General features: G+C 50.8%; 1 annotated feature.

Annotated features, from left to right (window-relative positions):
• Nucleotides 2,738-3,300: an enhancer, noted in NCBI's record as "H3K4me1 hESC enhancer chr22:45838232-45838794 (GRCh37/hg19 assembly coordinates)". NCBI's record gives its function as "activates a minimal SCP1, AML or CMV promoter by ChIP-STARR-seq in naive H9 embryonic stem cells {active_cell/tissue: H9 hESC(naive)}" and the evidence as "EXISTENCE:reporter gene assay evidence [ECO:0000049][PMID:30033119]".

Consider the following 4,061-nt stretch of genomic DNA (forward strand, 5'->3'; position numbering starts at 1 on the left):
GTAATCTCAGAACTTTGGGAGGCTGAGGCAGGTGGATTACCTGAGGTCAGGAGTTTGAGACCAGCCTGGCCAACATGGTGAAACCCTGACTCTACTAAAAATACAAAAATTAGCCAGGTGTGGAGGTGCACACCTGTAGTCCTAGCTACTCAGGAGGCAGAGGCATGAGAATCACTTGAACCAGGGAGGTGGATGTTGCAGTGAGCTGAGATCATGCCACTTCATTCCAGCCTCGGGTACAGAGTGAGACTCTGTCTCAAAAAAACAAGCAAAAAATCACAAAAAGACCTTTACAGAAATGTTTATAGCATCTTTATTCATGATAGCACCAAACTTGGATCAACCAAAATATCTATCAACAGGTGATCAGATAAACAAAAGTTATATTCCTATCACTCACAGCTGAAAAGAAACAAACTGCTGATATACCCGTCAAAACGGCAGAATCAGAAATCATAATCAGGGCGGGGCGCAGTGGCTCAGGCCTGTAATCCCAGCACTTTGGGAGGCCAAGGGGGCAGATCACGAGGTCAGGAGATCAAGACCAACCTGGCTAACATGGTGAAACCCCATCGCTACTAAAAACACAAAAAATTAGCCGGGCGTGGTGGCATGTGCCTGTACTCCCAGCTACTCAGGAGGCTGAGGCATGAGAATTGCTTGAACCCGGGAGGTGGACGTTGCAGTGAGCCAAGATTACGCCACTGCGCTACAGCCTGGGCAACAGAGCAAGACTCCATCTCAAAAAAATAAATAAATGAAATAAAAAATAAAAATAAAAAATTAGCTGGGCATGGTGGTGAGGGGTGGGGTGGGGGGTGTTCCTGTAATACCAGCTACTTGGGAGGCTGAGGCAGGAGAATTGCTTGAACCCGGGAGGCAGAGGTTACAGTGAGCCAAGATCGCACCACTGCCCTCCAGCCTGGGTGACAAGAGCGAAATTCTGTCTCAAAAAAAAAAATCATAATCAGAAACATTGTAACAGATACAAAGGAGTTCACAGTTTACAATTCTATCTATGGGGAGTTCCAGAATTGGGATAACTATTCCATCAGTGCTTGCCTGGGACAGGGTGAGGGGGTTTGATGGCAAACAGGCATGAGGCTACTTTTTGGAGTGATGGAAACGGACAGAAAAAGAAAACCCAACCACACTCCTACCCCTGACAGGACTGCAAAGGGAGGACCCCTAAGAAACCGGGTACCATCTGTTATGCATGCAGCAGGACGAGCCGCAGACAAAACTCCTCAGACACTGAGTTAAAGAAGGAAGTGGTTCTTTCGGCCGGGAGCATCAGGTAAGACTCCTGTCTCAAGAGCCGAGCTCCCCCAGTGAGCAATTCCTGTCCCTTTTAAGGGCTCACAACTCTAAGGGGGTCCGCGCGAGAGGGTCGTGATCGATTGAGCAAGCAGGGGGTACATGACTGGGGGCTGCATGCACCGGTAATCAGAAGGAAACAGAACAGGACAGGGATTTTTGCAATGCCTTTCCATACAAAGTCTGGAATCTATAGATAACATAACCGGTTAGGTCAGGGTCGATCTTTAACTACCAGGATTAGGTCAGGCAGGCCCAGGCCTGGTTTCGGGTCTGGTTCCTAGGCGCCGGGCTACCTGCATTTCGTTTCGCTTTTCTTTCCTTTTCTGAGTATAAAACAAGATAAAACAATATGAGAGAGTCTGTCTCTCTTCTCTCATGTGCAGTGAGCTGTTGCTGTCTACTGGAGAGCTGTCCACCAGCAGGTGGCACATCTATCTCTCGTGCTCCCAGCATAGCCTCTGGCCATCTGGTTTCCACCTGCACCGGGTCTCCCTCTGCAGAAGCGACAGCCACTTTGGAATGTTGGTGCAATGAGGTGACAGGTCCCCATGCTCCTGGGTGGAGCAGCGTCCTGAGCCTGGTTACAGGAGGGATCATGGGGTGAAGGTTGGGGATGGAGCAGGGGCCTCTAGAGCACCTTTTCCAAAGAGACATGTTTCCTTTTCTTTTCTTTTCTTTTCTTTTTTTTTTTTTTTTTTGGGACAGAGTCTTGCTCTGTCACCACCCAGGCTGGAGTGCAGTGGTGCGATCTCGGCTCACTGCAACCTCCGCCTCCCGGGTTCAAGCGATTCTCCTGCCTCTGCCTCAGCCTCCCAAGTAGCTGGGACTACAGGCGCATACCACCACACCCAGCTAATTTTTTGTATTTTTAGTAGAGACGGGGTTTCACCGCGTTAGCCACAATGGTCTTGATCTCCTGACCTCGTGATCCACCTGACTCGGCCTCCCAAAGTGCTGGGATTACAGGCATGAGCCACCGCGCCCAGCAAGAGGCATCTTTTCAACCATATGGATTGTGCCCACGTGATGTTAAGAGAGTGGTGAAAAGAAGCTGGAGGATGCCGAGTGAGAATGAGGCTGTGAGTGACACAGAGTAGGTAGTTGCCAGGTGGGGCTTCATCTGTGCTTGCCCCGACCAAGTAAAGGCCTTGATCCTCCCCCACCCACCACCTCATCCAGCCCACCCCCAGATTCATGCTCCCCCATCTTCGAACCTCACTTGCTCTCTGCCCAGACCTGGCAAAGTCAGTTTCATCTACTGAGTCTGGAAGGTCTGCCTTCCTTTCTTCTTCCAGCGAATGAAAGATGAATCCAAAGTCCCTGGGGCCAACCCCCAGCATGGCCCCCAGAAGTAAACAGGAATGGGAATGAGGGCAGATGGAATGTCTGCGAGTCAGTGGGTCTTTTCTTTTCACCAGACGTTCCAGAAAGCTCTCCAAACACACTTGTTCTAACAGTGTCAGAAAAGACTCCAGCCTCATTGTCCACAATTGTTGGGGATAGAACATTCCAGAGCCTATTGAAGAAAAAAGTGGGTAGGGCCATCTCCTCCACACCAGGCTGATCTGTGAATTAATCGCCCCTGAAGGTTTTCCCCGGGGCTCTGGAGCTGACAAATGTGACTTTGTTACCTGGATATCCCTTGGAACCTGGCAGAGCCTGAGGACAGGACTCAGCCACAGAGTCTCTCACCCAAAGCCACTCAGTGTCCTCAGCTGCCCATCTGGTAACTGGCCCTAAAACGGCCTTTCAGTTCCAGCACTGCCACCCCTCCCAGCCCCACTGGCCCAGCCTCCTCATTCCCAGCTCAAATTCGTGACCAGGGGGCCTATGGGACCTGGTCGTCTTTTCAGATGGACAGTCCCTAGGTCAAGGCCCACTCCCTGGCCCCATCCTCGCATGGGGAGAGTCGGCTCATAGTATATTCAGAGGCAAAAAGGGCGGTGGGCTTGCAGCACCAATAAACATGTCCAGCAAAATATGCTGATGGTGTACATGGCTGCTGCTTGCTGAGCCCGTGTGTGCTGATGCCACAGAGCTGAGCTTCTTAAAATCTGCAGGAGGCTGCCGGGTGCGATGGCTCACGCCTGTGATCCCAGCACTTTTGGGAGGCCGAGGCGGGTAGATCACCTGAGGTCAGGAGTTCGAGACCAGCCTGACCAACATAGAGAAACCCCATCTCTACTAAAAATACAAAATTAGCCAGGTGTAGTGGAGCATGCCTGTAATTCCAGCTACTCGGGAGGCTGAGGCAGGAGAATTGCTTGAACCCAGGAGGCGGAGGTTGCGGTAAGCTGAGATTGCACCTTTGCACTCCAGCCTGGGCAACAAGAGCAAAACTCCGTCTCAAAAAAAAAAAAAAAAAAAAACCTGCAGGAGGCTACAAGAAGTGTTACCAGTTTCATATCCCCAATGAGGATGAGGAATGTGAACACAAAGTACCTAAGACAAGTCTCAATCCATTTAGAAAGTTTATTTTGTACCTGGGCTTGGTGGCTCGTGCCTGTAATCCCAGCACTTTGGGAGGCTGAGGCAGGCAGATCACCTGAGGTTACGAGTTCAAGACCAGCCTGGCCAACATGGTGAAACCTCGTCTCTACTAAAAAGACAAAATTAGCTGGGCATGGTGGCAGGTGCCTGTAGTCCCAGCTACTTGGGAGGCTGAGGCAGGAGAATCACTTGAACCTGGGAGGCAGAGGTTGCAGTGAGCCAAGATCATGCCACTGCACTCCAGCCTGGGC

This window comes from Homo sapiens, chromosome 22 (assembly GCF_000001405.40).
Source record: "Homo sapiens chromosome 22, GRCh38.p14 Primary Assembly".
In the NCBI taxonomy this organism is placed as follows: domain Eukaryota; kingdom Metazoa; phylum Chordata; class Mammalia; order Primates; family Hominidae; genus Homo; species Homo sapiens.